Source organism: Homo sapiens, chromosome 11 (genome assembly GCF_000001405.40).
Source record: "Homo sapiens chromosome 11, GRCh38.p14 Primary Assembly".
Classification (NCBI taxonomy): Eukaryota; Metazoa; Chordata; class Mammalia; order Primates; family Hominidae; genus Homo; species Homo sapiens.
The window spans coordinates 71,545,754-71,565,475 of NC_000011.10; the positions used below are offsets into that span (position 1 = coordinate 71,545,754).

General features: G+C 45.8%; 1 protein-coding gene across 1 annotated transcript, besides 4 other annotated features; it reads left to right on the top strand.

The window, feature by feature from the left end:
* Positions 2,540-3,085: an enhancer, noted in NCBI's record as "H3K4me1 hESC enhancer chr11:71259339-71259884 (GRCh37/hg19 assembly coordinates)". NCBI's record gives its function as "activates a minimal SCP1, AML or CMV promoter by ChIP-STARR-seq in naive H9 embryonic stem cells {active_cell/tissue: H9 hESC(naive)}" and the evidence as "EXISTENCE:reporter gene assay evidence [ECO:0000049][PMID:30033119]".
* KRTAP5-9 (keratin associated protein 5-9) lies at positions 2,667-3,855 on the top strand. Its single transcript, NM_005553.4, has one exon. The coding sequence runs from the start codon at positions 2,905-2,907 to the stop codon at positions 3,412-3,414; it is 510 nt and encodes a 169-aa protein (NP_005544.4). The 5' UTR covers positions 2,667-2,904; the 3' UTR covers positions 3,415-3,855.
* Positions 3,086-3,630: an enhancer, noted in NCBI's record as "H3K4me1 hESC enhancer chr11:71259885-71260429 (GRCh37/hg19 assembly coordinates)". NCBI's record gives its function as "activates a minimal SCP1, AML or CMV promoter by ChIP-STARR-seq in naive H9 embryonic stem cells {active_cell/tissue: H9 hESC(naive)}" and the evidence as "EXISTENCE:reporter gene assay evidence [ECO:0000049][PMID:30033119]".
* Positions 3,173-3,232: an enhancer, noted in NCBI's record as "active region_5169". NCBI's record gives its function as "activates an Ori minimal core promoter by ATAC-STARR-seq in GM12878 lymphoblastoid cells {active_cell/tissue: GM12878}" and the evidence as "EXISTENCE:reporter gene assay evidence [ECO:0000049][PMID:35858748]".
* Positions 4,631-4,680: an enhancer, noted in NCBI's record as "active region_5170". NCBI's record gives its function as "activates an Ori minimal core promoter by ATAC-STARR-seq in GM12878 lymphoblastoid cells {active_cell/tissue: GM12878}" and the evidence as "EXISTENCE:reporter gene assay evidence [ECO:0000049][PMID:35858748]".

Sequence of the window (19,722 nt, forward strand, 5' to 3'; positions counted from 1 at the left end):
GGCGCAAGGAAGTCTTCTGAGTCCGCTGCTTCACCTTTTGACATCAGAGGGCCAAAAGCTCCACCCTCAGATCAGGCTAACACCTCTGGTTTTTGCACATAGAGAGGGGGTGAAGCTGGATTGCGCATATGCCTGGTTTTGGGTCTGCAGTTGGTTCCTGCTGGTGGGTTCGTGGTCTCGCTGACTTCAAGAATGCACCCATGGACTTTCACGGACCTTCGCAGTGAGTGTTACAGCTCTTAAAGATGGCACAGACCCAAAGAGTCAGTGGCAGCAAGGTTTATTGTTTATTCGCGAAAGGACAAAGCTTCCACAGCGTGGAAGTAGACCCGAGTGGGTTGCCGCTGCTGGCTGTGTGGCCAGCTTTTATTCCCCTATTGGCCCCGCCCATGTTCCGTTTCTGTCCTATCAGAGTGCCTTTTTTTCAATCCTCCCTGCGATTGGCTACTTTCAGAATCCTGTGCAGATTGGTGTGTTTTACAATCCTCTTGCAAGACAGGAAAGTTCCTGATTGGTGCATTTTACAATCCTCTTGTAAGACAGAAAAGTTCCCCAAGTCCCCACGGGACCCAAGAAGTCCAGCTGGCCTCATGTCTCAGTTTCTCCTCTTATCAATATTCATGTCCCTCCCACAGCTTATTGAATATGCATATTCAGCCACCCCCACTCAGTGTAGATCTCTGCTTTATTCTTCCCTCCCTCCAAGTGTCTGTTTCCAGCTTCCTACCAGAGGCTGCGCCTCCCAACCAGTCAGAACAGCCACACTCAGCCCGCAGCACTTTATGAGAAGTAAAGCGCTCCTTTCCAAATTGACGACCTCGTCCTTCTTCAGTTAACACCTCCCTCTCTCAATGACGATGATGGAGCATGTCCAGGTGTTGGTGACACAGCTACATGGCTGCGTGTGGGATAAAGTCGCTGCCCCTTCAGAACTCACACCCCCCTGGAGTGGGACACACACCTCTAAGAACAAACAAGGATGAGAGCAGAGCCAGCTTGGCATCGTGGGAATCAATAAATGAAACAGAAAGTGCAAGGTGGTGGGGGTAGCTATCTCGGGACGGGGTGTCAGAGGTGGATCTGAGTTGGGCAGACAGGAGGGACGCAGTCCAGGGCGGTCCTGGGTGAGTCTGTTCCATGTAAGGAACTGCCAGCACACAGGTCGTAAGGAGGAGTGCGGTGTGGCCCCGGCACCAATCCAGGGCTGGATGAAGAATGATTGAGGCAGTCTGAAGATGACACCAAGTCATTCTCCTCCCACGGAGAGGTGGACTTTCTCTTCTCTCTGCAATCTGGGCTGGCCTCAGTGACTTGAGGAGGGAGAAATACTCTAGGATTCCTAGGCTGGGTCATAAGGCACCTTCTAGCCTCTGCTCGAGTGACCTCCTAGGAAGTACAGCTGCCCTGAGCCCACCATGCTGTGAGGAAGCCCAAGCCAGCCGTGGGAAGAGGCCGTGAGGTGGGGGAGGGGAGGGAGATCTGTCCGGCCTCACCTGTTGTAGCCATCCCATAGGTGTGTGAACACAGCATCTTGGACAAGCCAGCCCCAGCTGACATAATTTACAGAAAAACCAAGGAACCCTGCAGACAGCCGGAACTGAGGTCCCAAAATACAGCCCAGCCAAGCCATGCTGCCATCGTTAGCCATTGGTACCTTCCCAATTGAGACCCCACAAATCATGCGGCCTGTGCCACCATCCAGTGCCGGATCTGAACTACTGATCCACTGAGCTTTGGGCTGATTGGTTCTGCAACGATGGGTGGCCAAGGCCACGGTCAAATCCAGCTGGAGAGGTGGATGGGGCCAGTGTCAGGGGTTTGGATTTCACCCCAAGTCAGCTGAGGCACACTGGAATGTCGTAAGCCTGCACATCCACTCATCACACATTTTAACCGCATCTGAGTGTGGACCGTACCGATGGGTTCCTGCACCTGCAGCCTCCACACCATTGCTGGTGCCCTGCCTCCTAGCTGGAGTATCCTTCCTGTCTCTTGGCTGCTCTTTGTACCCATCATGGTCCCCCTACCACCCTCCAAGTTCTGCTCCAAGCTTTGTTTTCCTCCAAGAGAAGAACCTGTCCAGACAATAGTTTCAAAGCAGCGGGAAGCTCTGCTCACGTGTCCCCAAGGACCATGCTGTGTGAAATTCCCTTCTGTAATCACAGAGCCCATTGCCCTGGCCTATTCCTGGTCCAGGAATAGGGAGGAGGTAGACAGAGGATGCCTCCTTCCCCACTGCTGAGAACCCTGCCATCCTCAGCCACAGTTGCCACAGAGAAGATACCACATCCCTGGGGGAATCAGCAGGAATCAGGTAGAGAGTGGCACTGCTCTGGGGAGGGAGGGCGTCTCACAGCATCAAACGTCAAAAACCCACAACATTGACCCAGTCCTGCCAAGACGGAACCCTGCATGAGCATGGGGGATGGGGAGTTGGGGTGTTGCAAAAGACGCAATACATGAATGATCTCAGGTAATTCTCAGGCAACCCCCGGAGGCTGGTGTTGCTAGCACCCCTCTGCAGGAGAAGAAGCTGGGGCTCGGGAGCTGACTGGATCTGCTCAAAGGCCCAGGAAGAATAAGAGTTAGGAACTGGGACAGACCTTGAGGAAGCTGCACTTCCTCCTGAGGTGAGCCAGCGTTGGAGCTGTTTTTCCTTTCAGTATGAATTCCACAAGGAAATCATCTCAGGAGGAAGGGCTCATACTTGGATCCAGAAAATATCAACATAGCCAAAGAAAAACAATCAAGACATACCTCCAGGAGCTGTGTAACAGCAACCGGAAAGAGAAACAATGGTGTGTTCCTATGTGGGATATAAAGAGCCGGGGCTCAGGGGGCTCCACACCTGCACCTCCTTCTCACCTGCTCCTCTACCTGCTCCACCCTCAATCCACCAGAACCATGGGCTGCTGTGGCTGCTCCGGAGGCTGTGGCTCCAGCTGTGGAGGCTGTGACTCCAGCTGTGGGAGCTGTGGCTCTGGCTGCAGGGGCTGTGGCCCCAGCTGCTGTGCACCCGTCTACTGCTGCAAGCCCGTGTGCTGCTGTGTTCCAGCCTGTTCCTGCTCTAGCTGTGGCAAGCGGGGCTGTGGCTCCTGTGGGGGCTCCAAGGGAGGCTGTGGTTCTTGTGGCTGCTCCCAGTGCAGTTGCTGCAAGCCCTGCTGTTGCTCTTCAGGCTGTGGGTCATCCTGCTGCCAGTGCAGCTGCTGCAAGCCCTACTGCTCCCAGTGCAGCTGCTGTAAGCCCTGTTGCTCCTCCTCGGGTCGTGGGTCATCCTGCTGCCAATCCAGCTGCTGCAAGCCCTGCTGCTCATCCTCAGGCTGTGGGTCATCCTGCTGCCAGTCCAGCTGCTGCAAGCCCTGCTGCTCCCAGTCCAGATGCTGTGTCCCTGTGTGCTACCAGTGCAAGATCTGAGGCTCTAGTGGGAAACCTCAGGTAGCTCCTGAAGATCTGTGCTTTCCAACAAGTGACTACCCTTGAAGCACATCCCCTTCTGGATCTGAAAAGAGCCCTTGGCTCAGGGCGTCTTTTTCCAGCCCCTGAGGAAATGGAATGAACCACTCCCTGCCCATTCCCTATAAGAATATCCCAAGACCCAGGCAATTTTGCCCCTCTTTCCCACATGCCCCCATATGTCTGAGCCAAACTGCACTGGGGGCTGCCCTCATGCCAAGCAAGAGCCTGGAATTCCCCTTCTTGATAATTCCATGGGAGACAGCAAACCCTTCTTTCCTTTGCCTGCCAGGAGCTTCACGACATTTGCAGATGGATGTCCTGCAACCCAAATGATCACATGTATCTATGGAAATCCAAAATGCATCTGGGTGCAGCACTAAATAAATTCTCCATCCCTCAGCCTTGGTCTCACTGACTCTTTTCTTCCAGCCTCTGTCTCATTGGCAAACTGGCCACATGTCCTTCCCCTCCTCCCTGATAGCTTATTGCTCCCACTGCTGTAACAGTGTGCCAGGCCCAGCTCCCATTCCAGAAACAGTTGTTGAACTGATTAATGAAGGAACCACTAGCAGTATGTATGAATGAATGAAGACGAGGAATGAATGAGTGAATGAGTGAGTATCTCTCATTAGTACACAGGGAGTCCCAGCTGTATCTCAGTGGGATTCAGTCTGTCTTGGTTGGAATTTGGACTCCTACTTCTTCCCCATGGGAGGATATGTTTGGGAGAGAAGGAGAACTTTGCCCTCAGTGCCTAGGAAGGGATGTAATGGGTGCTCTCTGGGTCCAGCCAGTCCCCAGTTTGTGGGTCAAGCCAGGAGATGGGGAAGCGAGACTAGAATGAGCTGTGTCCCTGAGATGCTCTGTAGGACAACACTGGAAACTGTGCTGCTTCAAGGATCCAAGACGGTGTGGCTGAACACAGGCTGAAGTGCACCCTCCATCTCTGGGCTCAGAGTGAGGAGGAATCCAAGTGTCCACAGGCTTCCCAGCTTTGGTTTGGCACAGGGAGGAACAGAAGGGACTTTTCTCAGCCTGATAAAGGCCATCTACCCACAGTGAACACGGTGCTTAACTATGAAAACCTGGATGTTTTCCCCTAGGATCAGGAACAGGAAAAGAATGTCCACACCCACCACTTCTATGCAACATTTCACTGAAGCTATAGCCAGAATAACATAACAGGAAAAGAAAATAAAGCCATCCAGGTAAGAAAAAAGGAAGCAAAACTATCTCTATTCACAGAAAACCTCATCTTGTATACAGAAGATGCTGAGGGACACACACACACACACACACACACACACACACACAACTATTAGAGCCAATAACCGAGCTCAGCAGAGTGCAGAACACAAGGACTATACACAATAGTCAGCTGTGTTTCTTTACAACAGCAAAAAGCAAGCAAAAAGGTTGTAAGGAAACAATAAAATTCCTGGGAACAAATGCAACCAAAAAAGTACAAGACTTGGACACTTAACACTACAAAACACCATTGGAAGAAGTTAAGGAGGACCAAAGTAATGGGGGAAAAAATCCTATGTTCATGTATTGGAAGACCTAATATTGTGAAGATTGAAACACTCCAAAAAAAAATTGTTCTACCAATTTAATGCAATTCCGATCAACATCTCAGATTTCTTTTTTCAAAAATTGACAAGTTGATCCTAAAATTTATGTGGACATTCAAGGGACCCTAAATAGCTAAAACAATCTTGAAAAAGAAAAGCAAAGTTTGAGGACTCAGGTTTTCCAATTTCTAAATGGGCTGCAAAGCTACAGTCATCAAGGCAGCATGGCTCTTGCATAAGGATAGAAAGATGGATCAATGGGGTAGGTTTGAGACTCTTGAAATAAAGCCTCACAGTTGTGGTCAATGTATTTTCACAGGTACTATACAATTCCATGGGAAAAGAGGAATGTTTTCAACAAACAATGCTGCTAAGACAACTGGATGTCCACATGCAAAAGAGTGAATTTGAATCTTGACCTCATACCATATACCAAACAAACAAAAAAAAAATAGAAAAAATAGATCAATGACCTAATTGTAAAAGCCAAAACTAGAGGATTACTAGAAGCAAAACAGGTTAAGTTTTCATGACCTTGGAGTATGAAATGGTTCTTAGATAATGACACCAAAACCACAGGGAAAAACTAGATTAACTAACTACATCAAAACGAATAGTTTTTGTGCTTCTGAGGGCACTATGAAGAAAATGAAGATACACCAACAGAGTGGAAGAAACTACTTTGAAATCATATATTTGATAAGAACTTGCATCTAGACATATAAAGAATTCTTACTACTCAAACACACAATCCAATTAAAGACCCAGCAGAGGATTTAAATAGGCATTTTCCAAAGAAGATATACAAATGGCTAATAAGCACATGAAAAGGAGCTCAACATTGTTAGACATCAGGGAAAATCAGGGAAATGCAAATCAAAACCACAATAAGATAGCAGTTCACATCCTCTGGGATGGCTATTATCAAAAAGACAATAAGAAGCACTGATGAGAATGTGGAGAAATGGGAGCCCTTGTGCATTGGATGAAAATAAAAAAATCATGCCACTACTTTGAAAAATAGTTCCTCAAATGTTCCATGTAGAGTTACCATATGACTCAGCAATTCCACTCTTAGGTAACTACTGAAGGGAACTGAAATGTATATCACATAAAAACTCATATGATGATATTCATAGCAGCCTTATTCTCATTTGCCAACAAGTGGAACCATCTAAATGTCCATGAACTGATGAGTCGGTAAACAAAATGTGGTATAGTCATACATGGACATATTCATATTCTGGATGTTATCCCCATATCATTTTTAAATTTTAGTGTTTTAATGTTAAAAATGATAGACAATTGTAGAAGACAACAAATTACTCATAACCCCAATCTCTAGAGTGCTAACATTTTGGTTGCTCCCATGTAATTTGTGTATTCGGGCATCTCATGACCTCTCTATTACCCAAGGTCACCACGGTGTTCTGCTTGCCAAGGCACAGGCTCTTCACTGGCCCCATAACAATGACCCGAGCCCCCATTGTAGGCAGAGGGTTGCATGTCCCACCTGAGTGAGTTTATGTGGGAATCCCCAGGGCCTTTCGTGTTCTCCACGCGTTGGTGGAGCGGCCCCTGCTTCTCCCCCAGGGTGTGCCTGCAGCCCCTTCCCTGCCTCCTGCCATTCCCATGGGTGGTGCCAAGAGAAGCTTTAGGGCAGCCAAGCTCCTCCTTCCTTCTTGGCATCAGCTAGAGGTTCCTACGAATGCTAATGGTTGGGGGCATGGTGGGGAGAATTCATTATTTCTTCCAGCACTGCTCTCTTAAAAATTTGTATTATCAATAGTTTAGAAAGGTTGTTTTTAGTTTCATAGCTCACTATCAATAACTATGTTAATTTTTAGGATTATCAAATTTGGGGAGATGTCATCGAATTGCTTTCCTATATGAGATATAGTATTTGGAAGACATTTCTGAAAACCAGCTCTGCCTCTGTACCTTTCCTTTTTTTTTTTTTTTTTTTTTTTTTTTTTTTTTTTTGAGACGGAGTCTCACTCTGTCACCCAGGCTGGAGTGCAGTGGTGCAATCTTGGCTCACTGCAAACTCCACCTCCCGGGTTCAAGTGATTCTCCTGCCTCAGCCTCCGGAGTAGCTGGGACTACAGGTGCCCCCCACCATGCCTGGCTAATTTTTTTTTGTATTTTTAGTAGAGACGGGGTTTCACCGTGTTAGCCAGGATGGTCTCGATCTCCTGACCTCGTGATCCGCCCGCCTCGGCCTCCCAAAGTGCTGGGATTACAGGTGTGAGCCACCACGCCTGGCCACCTTTCTACCTTTCAAACCTTGATTCTCTTCTGCTGCCCACAGGTAGCCACTGAAGGATGCATGGTATCATGACATAATCTACAATCTCTGGCCATTCATCTTTGTGTCACCTTACTGGGGCAAATTGTCACAGTGGATGGTAGGAGTAGTCCTGGAAGTCATTCATCCTCTAAAGGATAAGAAATTATTGGAATACAGTTGGAAAGGACTCTGAATTCATAAATGTATCCCACTGAACCAACCCCAAAATGACTAACGCCCCAGCAATATTACTTTACACAAAGCCTGCTTTGGGCTAAAACCCTAACCCTGGTACATGCACTTGAATAGATACACTTAGCTTGACTTTCTCTCATTTCTTATCCTTCTCACACTCTGGACTATGAGACGGGTGACATCCTGTGCCTGGGCTGGCGTGTAGGCCGTCTCCTCCAGGACAAGCTCGCCTGTTTCTGCTTATGCTGTTCTGGGAGCCACCTCTCTTGTGGAACTGGGGATGATGGTGGGTCCTTGAGTGGCGACTGCTTCAGATGAAGTCCCTGAAGGGGTCTTTCTAATGGAGATGGGACTACCTTAGCTGGGGGTGGGTGGGTGTGAGGGGGTGACTAGGGTGGGCCAGGACAGGCTGCTTAGAGTTCAGGGAAATTTGGGGATTCCAAGTTTTTGGCTCACCTATGTCCACCCGGATGATTTCATCCCAAGAGTTTCAGCAAATGCCCTCCTCGCCAGTTGTGTCCCTACCTTATAATTAGCACCTGATTGCAGGGCTGTGCATTTTAATTGCCATTCCAGCTTTGCAGCCCCCACGGTCAGGTGTGGGTGTGATCCCCAGCCAGGGCTGCTCACAATAAAAGATACCGACACCCCAGGGTGCTCTGACTGTAGTTATGGTGTTTTTTTTTTTTAATTTTTCATTCTACCAGTTTTTATTTCTTGCACAATGACATCGTGACAGCCACAAACAAAATAATTCTGAAAATAAGGGAAACTTGCCCATAATCCCTTTACTCTAAAGCATCAAGTTCTTATATTCCATGTCCTCATGAAAATTCATTTGTTTTTCTGCTTTTTTTTTTTTTTTTTTTTTTTTTTTGAGACGGAGTCTCGCTCTGTCGCCCAGGCTGGAGTGCAGTGGCGGGATCTCGGCTCACTGCAAGCTCCGCCTCCCGGGTTCACGCCATTCTCCTGCCTCAGCCTCCCAAGTAGCTGGGACTACAGGCGCCCGCCACTACGCCCGGCTAATTTTTTGTATTTTTAGTAGAGACGGGGTTTCACCGTTTTAGCCGGGATGGTCTCGATCTCCTGACCTCGTGATCCGCCCGCCTCGGCCTCCCAAAGTGCTGGGATTACAGGCGTGAGCCACTGCGCCCGGCCTGTTTTTCTGCTTTTTTACAGAATTGCGGAAAAAACATTTGACAAAGAAATATACACCAAACCCAGCTCTTTTGTTTAAAAGCCAATTGCAAAAACACAGAACGAATGACCTGGTTTAATGGTGGCTAAGAACAATAGAAAAAGGGCCTGGTTTATTTGAGTTAAATTTGAGCTCAGGATGAGGCTAGGGTGTGGTGTTGCTGTCAAAACCCACTCTGTGGTCTGAGGGTGGATTCGTAGCCACACAGTGTCCAACTGAGGGGTGAATGAGCCCCTCCGCATCAGCCCATGCTAGTTCCTTTAATGGACTTTTTTTTTAAGAGCAGTTTTAGGTTCACAGCAAAATTGAGAGGAGTGGGCCACGACATCCCCTGTGCTCTAAAATGAGAGTGCTTCCTCAGAGTCCATGGCAGTGGGTCACTCTCTGGGGGTCCCCAGGGACTCAGGGTGTGGCTGGCCTGTCCCCAACTCAGGAGAGACCAGGAGTTGTCCAGTGTTTCCTTCATTGGAAGTCTCTGTGGATGCCTCCCACGGACCTGGATGTTGAGGGCCCATGATTTCCACAGTACATTTAGGAGCCAGGATGCAGGGCCCCCATTTCCTCTATGTGTGCCCTGGACACCCCAGGCCCATGGGACAGGCCTGGCCCTGCAACCTTATCAGGGTCCTGACACCAGGCTTGACCTGGCCTTGTGATAAGCAAGAGAAGAGGCAGGTCCAGAGACACCTCCTGCATGGGATCGCCTGCATCCGACCCCCATGACAGGCAGTGGCCAGCACGGTGTGGAAGGGGCCAGGATGGCACCCGGCAGGCTGCCCTGTACCCCAGATGGCTCCTGGCCTCAGGAAATTAATATCCACGGGGAAACTGGTCACTTGGAGGCTGCCAGAGGGAAGGGTGAGTGTCACATTCCCTCAGCCATGGCCAGCCAGCAGCATGCCGTATGGCCTCTGGCCCAACCTGTGGGACAGGGACCCCAGACAGGGCACAAGTCCCTGTCCCAGAGGGTCCTGGCCTGGTGCTCACCCAAGCCCTGTAAAGGGAGGGGCACCAGGGGTGCCATGGGCACCCAGCAGCAGCCAGGATGATCACACAGGGGACTGAGACTTCTGTGGCAGTGGCCAGACCCAGAACTTGGCCAAAAGCAGGGCAAGCCACCTGGGACAGAGTGGATGCTGTGCCTGTGCGTGCCCAGCAAGGCTGAGCCAGTGACGCTACCAGGGTCCATGAGGCAAGGGTGGGGCAGGAGCAGGCTGAGCAGCCGCCAACCTCGTCCGCTCCAGGAGGCAGGGATGGCCGAGCTCCCACACCCTAGTGGCCGCCACCTGCCCACCGATGGGGCAGAGGCCTGAGGTCAAGCAGTCAGTGCTGGGGCCCTGCTTCCAGGGTCTACAAACTGCTCCAGTCCGGAAGGCCAACGATAACTGGGCATGTGAGGGCCCAGGAGGTCAGGTCCCTACGTCTGCCAACCTTGGCAGATGCATTTCACAGTCCGAAAAAGTCAAGAAAGGTGACACCTCTCAGGTGTTATTATGAAGGACTCTCCCAAGACACGTATTTTTTACATTTATTTTTATTGTATATATTCATGGTGGACAACATGGTGTTGTGGTAAATATGTACACAACTGAAATGATGGCTACAATTAATATCTCCAAAACTTTCCATGGTTCCCTTTTGTATGTGTGTGTATGAGTGTGTGTGCATGAGTGTGTTTGTATAAGTGTGTTTATGAGTCCGTATGCATATGTATGTGTGTGTTTGTATGATTATGTGTGTATGAGTGTGTGTAAGGTGTGTTTTAATTGTGTGTGTGTGAGACTGAGTGTGTGTATTTATGTGTGTGTATGAGTGTGAGTGTGTGTGTGTATGATGCGTGTGTGTGTATGTGTGTGTGGTAAGAGTACCTGGAGTCTTCTCTCAGCACACTTGCAGCACACAGCACCTGTCACCGGTAGTCCTTGCACTGTGCACTTGACTGCTCGGCTCCCTCTCCTACACAACTGCAAGCCCTTGACCTCCTCCTCCCCCTTTCCTTCTTCCTCCAGACCCTGGTAACCACTGTTCTATTCTATGTTTCTATGTATTTGACTTTTTCAAAATGTGGAATATATACATACATCTATATATGTATATATGGAATATTCCTCAGCTTTCAAAAGAAGGAGATCTGGTTACTTACAACAACATGGACGAATCTGGAGAACATTACACAGGGTGAAAAGAGGCAGACACAGAAAGACAGACACCACATGCTCTCCCTCACACATGGAGTATACAGGAGTGAAACTCACAGAAGCACAGAGTGCAAGCACGGGAACCACAGGCAGGGAAAGGGGAAATGAGGAGGTGCTAGTCCAGGGATCCAAAGCTTCAGTTCTACAAGATGAATAAGGCTTGGAGACCCAATACATAGCAAAGTGACCACAGGTAACAACACGGTGTTTAGTGTGTACTTAAAATGTACTGAGAGGGTAGATCCTAAATGTTCTCACCACCAAGAAAAGAGAGAGAGAGAGCTATGTGAAGTGGCGGATATCTTAATTATCTTGACTGTGGTGATTATTTCACAATGTAGACATATATGAGATCATCGAATTGTATGTCTTACATTATACACAATAAAAAATAATAAAAACAACCCCCAGTGCCAGGCCCTACAGGCACGCCCACCCAACCCTCTTGCTTGCACATACAATGTATAAAAGAATAGATGCACATACATGATTGGGTATTGTTACCAATTAGAATTTTATTATCCACATTTCTTTGCAACTTAACTTTTTTCACTAAAAGCTGTAACATGGTTGCCTCTCCTAGGAAGTAGATCTGGGTATAAGTCTATGTTTCTTTATGCATATGCATATTCATATATATGAAATTTTTCCATAAGTAAGATCACACATACTGGTCTCACTTTTCATTGCCATTTTCTTTTTGTTGATTCCTACACACCTTCCCCACTCCACCCAGCCACTGTCCTATGTACCTCCAGGCACACACTCAACATATGTGTAAGAGATATTTTTGTTGTTTGCTACTAAAATAAGATCCTGCTGTGCTCATTTCCCTGCATCTACATTTCACATTAGCCAGAGCCTTGAGGCTCCAAGTCCACTGGTACAGCTGCAATCTAATATTTTACTGGGCATTACTTTCAGTATTCATTTTCAATTTGCTAGGATTCTTTTTCTGACACTGCAAACAATGTATCATACACATATATGTATACATAAATATGTTTACATTTAATCTTATTTTCAGTAATTTCAAGACTAATAGTATTGATATTACCTAATTTTATTAGATATTGTTTTCAAAAAATACTATAATAAATTATATCCCCTGAACAATGTAAAACAGTGCCTTTTCCCCGCAATTTCACTAGCAATAGGTGTTATTATTCTTGTTAATTTTTGCCAGTCTAGTAGATATAAAATGTTGCAGGTAACCACTAACTGGGGCCACTGGCGTGGGCAGTAAAGGAATTTACCAAGACAATTGTAGGTAAGGAAAGGCAGATTTATTAGAGAATGTAGGAAAATACGTTGCAAGAATGGAAAGGGCAGGTCAGCAAGGGAGGAGCTGGCTGCCAGGAGACAAAGGCTTGCTGGGGATTTTATAGGATGGTGCTTGTGCCGGAGAGGGTTACATGCAGTGCTGATAATGCCAAGGTTTCAGTGAGCTAACCTGCATTTTTCTGTCAACTGAGGTCATAAGTTGAGTGCAGGAAGATTGTGAGTTATGTGAGTTATTTGCGCAGGAGGGCTAAGTCCTGCACCATGAAGAAAGGCAGACTTGTAGTTCATCTACCTTCTCTTTTTGCTTTCCCTTGGTCCAACCAACCTGGCTCCTTTTCCATCATTAGGACTCCACAGAAAATTCCCATGTATCTGACCACCAGGGAGTTTGGTTTACTTTTTATATTTTTAATTGCACATTTCCATTTGTTTATCAGAGAGTCATCTTTTTAAAAACTTGGTTGTTTGTCTTCTACTTGTCAATTTGTCAGAGCTACTAATGTTTTATAGATTTTTTATTTTGAGACAGGTTCTTACTCTGTTGCTGGAGTACAGAGGCAAAATGTCAGCTCACTGCAACCTCTGCCTCCTGGGTTCAAGCAATTCTCCAGTCTCAGCCTCCCAAGTAGCTGTAATTACAGGCATGCCCCACCACCATGCCCAGCTAGTTTTTGTATTTTTAGTAGAGATGAGGTTTCACCATGTTGGCCTGGCTGGTCTCGAACTCCTGGCCTCATGTGATCTGCCTGGTTCGAACTCCCAAAGTGCTGGGATTATAGGCATGAGCCATCATATTCAGCCAATGTTTTATAGATTATAGAACTAATAAATGAATCCAGCAAGTTTTTAGAATACAGGACCAATATATAAAAATCAATTGTATTTCTACTCACTTGCAAATCTGAAAGTGACAAAACACTGTTGAAAGAAACTGAAGAAGATCTAAAACATCCCAGATTTGTTGTGGACTGAATATTTATGTTCTTTCAAATTCATATGTTGAATCCATCACTCCTATTGTGGCTGTGTATGGAGACGAGTTCTCTAAGGAAGAAATTAAGGTTACATAAGGTCATAAGGGCTTCCATAGAATTTGCATCTTCATAAGAAGAGACACCAGGGAGCATGTGCCTCTGTCTCTCTCTCTCTTTCTCTCTCTCTCTCTTCCTCCCTCCATCTCTTTCTCTCTCCACACACAAAGGAAAGGCCATGTGAGCAAAGAGTGGGAAAGCAGCCATCTGCAACCCAAGGAGAGAGCACTCACCAGAAACTAAATTTGCTGGCACCCGATCTTGGACTTCTGATCTCCAGAATTGTGAGAAAATAAATGCCTGTTGTCTGAGCCACCAAATCTGTGGTATTTTGTTATGGCAGCCCAAGCAGACTGATGTTCATGTATCAGAAGACTTAACATTTTTCAGATGGCAATATCCCCAAAATTGATCTACAGAGTCTATAATCTCTATCAGGAAAGCAGCTGGCTTCTTTGCAGATATTCACAGGCTGATTCTAAAGTTCGTGTGGAATCTCAAGGGACCCTGAATAGCTAAAACAATGTTAAAAAGAAGAACAGGCGGGGTGTGGTGGCTCACGCCTGTAATCCCAGCACTTTGGGAGGCCAAGGCGGGCAGATCACGAGGTCAGGAGATGGAGACCATCCTGGCTAGCATAGTGAAACCCCATCTCTACTAAAAATAACAAAATTAGCCAGGCGTAGTGGCAGGTACCTGTAGTCCCAGCTACTCGGGAGGCTGAGGCAGGAGAACGGTGTGAACCCGGGAGATGGAGCTTGCAGTGAGCCAAGGTTGTGCCACTGCACTCCAGCCTGGGCTACAGAGTGAGACTTCGTCAAAAAAAAAAAAAAAAAAAAGAAAGAAAGAAAGAACACAGAAGAACAATGTTGGAGGGCTCACACTTGCCAATTTGAAAACTTACTACAAAGCTGCAATCATCAAGGCAGTTTAGTACTGGCATTAGAATAGATGTATTAAACCAGTGGGATAGAATTGAGAGCCAGAAATAAACCCTCGTGTAGATGACCAACTGATTTTTGACAGAGTGCCAGATTATTCAATGGAGGAAGAGCAGTACTTCAACAAATGGTGCTGGGAAACTAGACATCCACATGCACAGGAATGAGCTGAACCCCTACCTCACACCACAATAATTAATTCAAAATCGGTCCAAAGGCCTACATGTAAGAGTCAAATCTATAAAACTATTTAAAGAAAACATGACCTGGATTTAGCATGGATTGATAGATAGGACACCAAAAGGGCCAGCAACAAAAGAAAAATACAAATACATTGGATGTCATCAAAAGTTAAATATTTTTGAATCAAAGGATACTATCAACAAAGTGAAAGAACAATCTACATAAAGGAAGAAAAGATTTACAAATCAGATATCTGATAAGCGTCTAGCATCTAGAGTATATAAAGAACTTTTTCTTCAACTTTTATTTGAGAATCAAGCAGTACATGTGCAGATTTGTCACATGGATATATTGTGTGATGCTGAGGTTTGGAGTAGTGACTGTAGTACCCAATAGTTTTTCAGCCCTTGCCCCCTCCCTCCTTTCCTCCCTCCTCTTGTTCCCCAGTGTCTATGGTTTTCATCTTTATGTCCATGTGGACTCAATGTTTAGCTCTCACCTATAAGTGAGAATATGTGGGATTTGGTTTTCTGCTTCTGCATTAGTTCTCTTAGGATAATGGCCTCCAGCTGCATATTGCCGCAAAAGATATTACTTCATTCTTTTTTATAGCTGTGTAGTATTCCATGGTGTGTATGTACCACATTTTCTTTATCCAATCCACCATTGATGGGCACCTGGGTTGATTCCACATCTGTGCTTCTGTGAATAGCACTGCAATGAACATATGGATGCATGTGTCTTTTTGGTAGATTGATTTATTTTCCTTTGGGTATATACCCAATAATGAGATTGCTGGGTCAAATAGTAGTTCAATTCTTAGCTCTTTGAGGAATCTCCAAACTGCTCTCCATGGTGGCTGAAATCATTTACACTCCCACCAACAGTGTACAACTGTTCCCTTTTCTCCCAAGCTTTGCCAGCATCTGATTTTTGGTTTGTTTTGTTTTGTGTTGTTTCATTTTTTATTTTTTATCAAAAGCCATTCTGACTGATATGAGATGGTATCTCATGGTGGTTTTGATTTACATTCCCCTAATAGTTAGTGATGTGGAGCATTTTTTCATATAGTTGTTGGCCATGTGCATGTCTTCTTTTGAGAAGTGTCTGTTCATATCCTTTACTCACTTCGTAATGAAGTTATTTGTTTTTTGCTTGTTGATTTAAGTTCCTTGTAGATTGCAGATATTAGACTTTTGTCAGATGCACAGTGTGTGAATATTTTCACCCATTTTGTAGGTTGAGTGTTGACTCCCTGATAGTTTCTCTTGCTGTGCAGAAGCTCTTCCGTTTAATTACGTCCCGCTTGTCAATTTTTGTTTTTGTAGCAATTGCTTGTGAGGATTTAGCCGTAATTCTTTTTTAACAAGGCTGATATCAAGAAGGTGATTTCCTAGGTCTTCTTCTAGGATTTTTATAGTTTGAGGTCTTACATTTCGGTCTTTAATCCATCTTGAATTAATGTTTGTATATGGTGATCTGGTTAGCGGCCCAGTTTTATTCTTCTGGATGTGGAACTCAGTAATAAAAAGACAAATAACCCAATTAAAAAGTGGGCAAAGAATCTTAATTAGACATTTTCTGAAGAAGATACCCAAATGACAACAAGCATATAAAAAGACTCTGAGCATCATGATTCAACAGGGAGATGCAAATTGAAATCACAATGAGATACCATTTCACAAACACTAGGATGAATATAATGTAAAAGGTCAGACATTAACAAGTATTGGGGCAGGGTGTGCTTGTACCTGTAATCCCAGTGACTCAGGAGGCTGGAAGGGAGGATCCCTTGGGGCCACGAGTTTGAGTCTAGTATGGGTATCATGGCAAGACCTTGTCTCTACAAAAAATTAAAAATTTAGCTGGGTGTGATGAGGCACAACTGTAGTCCCAGCTACTGGGGAGTTTGAGACAAGGATTGCTTGGGTCCAGGAGGTTGAGGCTGCAGTGAGCTATGATCATGACACTGCACTTCAGCTTTGTCAACACAGTAAAACCCTGTCTCTAAAAAATAAATAAATAAAAATAAAATAAAATAACAACTGTTGACAAGGATGCAGAAACACTGGAACCTCCATGCACTGCTGTGGGAATGTAAATTGCTCAGCCACTGTGGAAAACAGTCTGCAGTTCCTCAAAAACTTAAGCAGAGAGTTACCATAGGGCCCAGCAATTCTGCTCATAAGGATGTTCCCAAGGGAAATGAAAACACATTCCATGCAAAAACTGGCACACCCATGTTCACAGCAGCATTACTCACAACAGCCAAAAGGTGGAAACAGTCTAATGTCTGCCAACTGAGGAATGAATGGTGTATTCATACAAAGGAAGATTAGTGTAAATAATTTATCATAGTAATGAAGTTCTGTTTCAGGCTGCAACATGGATGAACCACAAAACATTACACTAAGTGAAAGAAGGAAATTATAAAAGACCACATATCATATAATTTCACAGGTATGAAATTTCAAGAATAGAAAAATAGAGAGAGACAAAAAGTAAATTAGTAGTAGCCTCTGGCTACTACTAATGTTACCCATTTATCAGACTCAGGTGAGACACTCACATATGTCACAGGAAGTGGGTATACCAGTTACAGACAGGCAGCAAGGGAGAACAGGAGCCTCGGATTCATTGGGAGCCCTCTAGCCTCAGCAAAGCTTCCCAGGTGAGCTGAGTCTTATCCATGTGTGCCCCACTCACACCACAGCTGAGGGATCCCAGAAAGCCGCCTGCCCTCGGTCTTATGTCCCAGGGCTACAGGATTCACTGCACTAAAGCACGAAAGAATATCCTGTTTCTAGGAACTGGGACAAAGCCCGACTCTTCTGGCCAGTCCCTCCCTAACTCAGGATGTTGCATTCCCAGCATATTCTACAGTTATTCTTTTTCTTTCTTTATTAATATTTTAATTGAAGCATGATCATTGTACATGTTTATGGGGACCAGTGAGATATCAACTTCTTTAGCTTGCACCTGTGAGTGAGATCATGCAGTTCATCTTTCTGTGCCTGGCTTATTTCATTTAGCATAATGTCCTCCAAGCTCACCTGTATTGTCACATAGGGCAGAATTTTGTTCTGCTCTAGGGTTAAATAGAATTCCATTGTGTGTATACACCATCTTTTCCTTTTCATTACTTTTCCATGTTTTCCATTCATCTGTTGACAAGCACTTAGGTGCTTTCATATCATGGCTATCGTGAGCAGTGCTGTGATAAACATGGGGTGCAGATATCTCTTCAACACACTGATTTCTTTTCCTTTGGATACACACCCCATAGTGGGATTGCTGGGTTAGCTCTATTTTTAGCTTTTTGAGGAATCTCCATACAGTTTTCCTTAGTGGTTGTACAACTTCCCACTAACAGCATACGAGTTCCCTTTCTTCACTTCCTCTGCAGGATTTATTTTTGCCTTTTTGATAATGGCCATTCTGTGGGATGAGAGGACACCTCATTGTGGTTTTGACTTGCGTGTCCCTGATGATGAATGATGCTGAGCATTCCTTCAAGCTCTTGTTGGTCATTTGTACGTCTTCTTTCAGAAATGTCGGTTCAGCTCCCTCTGCAGTCACGCCTGAGAACCACAAGTGAGACACGGGGAGAATTGCATTGGTCTGAAGCCGCCTGGAGAACCGTCCTGTGGGGTAGTGAGTGGGGGGTACTAAAGGGCATGAGGTTATGAAATTTTCTACAACTGATTATGGTGATAGGTACACGGCTCTGTGAATATACTAAAAGCATTGAATTGTATACCTTAAATGGGAGAATTGTGTGGTATATGAACGATATGTCAATAAAGCTGTTAACAAAACAAGAAGAGGTATCAGAGAGGTTGGGGATCAGTGAAGCCGTGGTTGTATCAATGCACCAAGAGTTCTGGTGGAATGAAAGCACTGGAGAAAGTGAGCTAGAAAGAGGAGGGTGGCTGGAAGCGGGTGCATGGGACACACCCCACTGGGGTGCCCTGTGAAGAACAAGGGCACAGATATCACCACAGGGGTGAGGGGTGGGGAAGGATCTTTTACTTGTGTAAATGATCCCCACAGGGGCACTGCTTAACTGAGCAGTGGGAAGGAGGACACCATCCTCCAGCCCCCAGAATGGTAGAGCAACTGACAGCTTGCATCTTGAGCATGGAGAAGCTGCAGGCACCCAACTCCAACCCATGAGAGCAGCTGCAGGGGGTGAACCCTGCAAAGTCACGAGGGTGGAGTTCCCCAAGGCCTTAGGAGTCCACCCCTCACTCCAGTGTACCCTGGATGTGGGACTGGGAGTCCAAGGACATTATTTTGGAGCTTTAAGATTTAATGGCTGCCCTGCTGGATTTCAGACATGCATGGGGTCCGTAGCCCCTTCCTTTGGGCTGACTTCTCCCTTTTGGAATGGGAATGTTTACCCAATGCTTCTACCCTCATTGCATCTTGTAAGTAAATAATGTATTTTGATTTTCACAGGTTCATAGGTAGAAGGAACTTGGACTTGGGACTTCAGACTTGATGTTGGAATGAGTCAAGACATTGAGAGGACTGTTGAGAAGAGATGATCCTATTTTGTGATGTAAGGACATGAGATTTGAGGGGTCAGGGGGATAATGACATAGTTGGGCTGTCCCCTCCAAATCTCTTGTCGAAATGTAATCCCCAGTGTTGAAGGAGGGGCCTGCAAGGAGGTGTTTAGGTCATGGGGGCGGATCCCTCATAACTGGCTTAGCGCCATCTCCTTGGCGATGAGTGTGTTCACTCAGATCTGGTTGTTCGCAAGTGTGTGGCCCCTCCTCACCCCTTGCTCCCATTCTCACCATGTGGCGTGCCTACTCCTGCTTCGCCTTCCACCATGAGGAAAACCTCCCTGAGGGCCTCCCCAGAAGCTGAGCAGAGGTGGGTGCCATGCTTGTGCAGCCTGCAGAACCATGAGCCATTCTAACCTCTTTCCTTTATAAATTACCCAGCCTCAAGTATTTCTTTAGAGCAATGCAAAGAATGGTCTAACACACCCAGAAAGCTGAGACTGGTATGAGTAAAATATAAAGACCATGGATAACTTTTGAAATCTGAAAATGTAAAATTAATATTACTGGGGGAGTTAACACAGGAAAGATGAGAGCATGTGGGCAGAGGCTGTTGCCCATTGGTCACATGTGGTCAGCAGAGAGCAGGTGACCAGCACCCTGGAGCTTTGCAAGAAGTACCAGACAGCCTGGAGTTGAGGTTTTAATTATAGGGGCCAAAACAAACGGGGAAAAAGACAAATTTAGCATACAAAGAAAGTAGATGCTCAACTGAGCCAGGAGGAAGTCACTAGCAAAAAGGAAAAAAACAGAGCTCTGGAAAAATAATGTAAACAGTCACAAGAAAGGGACCCTGTG